Source organism: Homo sapiens, chromosome 11, assembly GCF_000001405.40.
Source record: "Homo sapiens chromosome 11, GRCh38.p14 Primary Assembly".
In the NCBI taxonomy this organism is placed as follows: domain Eukaryota; kingdom Metazoa; phylum Chordata; class Mammalia; order Primates; family Hominidae; genus Homo; species Homo sapiens.
Window position 1 is genome coordinate 274805 of NC_000011.10, and position 972 is coordinate 275776.

Below are 972 nucleotides of genomic sequence, written 5' to 3' on the forward strand. Positions count from 1 at the left end.
TTCAAATTCCAGCTGTTCGTTGCTAGGCAAGCAAGTGACTTTTGCTTATTACCCCTGCTACCTGCAACCTTGCTATAATCACTTATTAGTTCCAGGAATGTTTTGTTCTTTGGAATTTTCTACACAGACAATCATGTCCTGTGCAAGCAAAAATAGTTCATTTCTTCCTTCCCAATTTGCATACCCTCTTCTCCTTTTCTGGTCTTATTGCCAAGGCTAAGACTTCCAGCACAATGCTGAATAGGAGTGGTGAGAGGGGGCACCCTTGTCCTGTTCCCAGTCTTAAAGAGAAAGCATTCAGCTTCTCAACATTAAGTATGATATTAGCTGTAGGTTTTTTTGTAGATGTTCTCTATCAAGTTGAGGAAGTTCCACTCTATTCCTGCCTTGCTAGAGTTGTTATCATAAATAGGTGTTGGGTTTTGTCAAATGCTTTTCCTTTATCTATTGATATGATCATGTTTTTTCTTCTTTAGCCCATTGATGTGATGAATTACATTAATTTACATGTGAGTGTTAAACCAGCCTTGAATGTCTGGAGTAAATCCCACTTGGTTGTGATGTATCATTCATTTTACACATGTTAGGTTTGGGTTGCTGACTTTTTGTAGAGGATTTTTATATCTACATTCCTGAGAAATATTAGTGTGTTATTTTTCCTTGCTTGTAATGTCTTTGTCTAGTTTTGGTATTAAGGTATTACAACCTTCATTGAATGAGTTAGGAAGTGTTCCTACTGCCTCTATTTTCTGGAAAAGATTATAGGAAATTGTTATTTCTTCATTATGTTTTCAATATAATTCACCAGTAAAACCATCTGGGTCTAATGCTTTTTGGTTTGGAAGGTCATTAATTGTAGATTCAATGTCTTGTTTTTGTTTTTGTTTTGAGTCAGGATCTGGCTCTGTTGCCTGGGTTGGAGTGCAGTGGCATTATCATAGCTCACTGTAGCTTGAACTCCTGAGCTCAAGC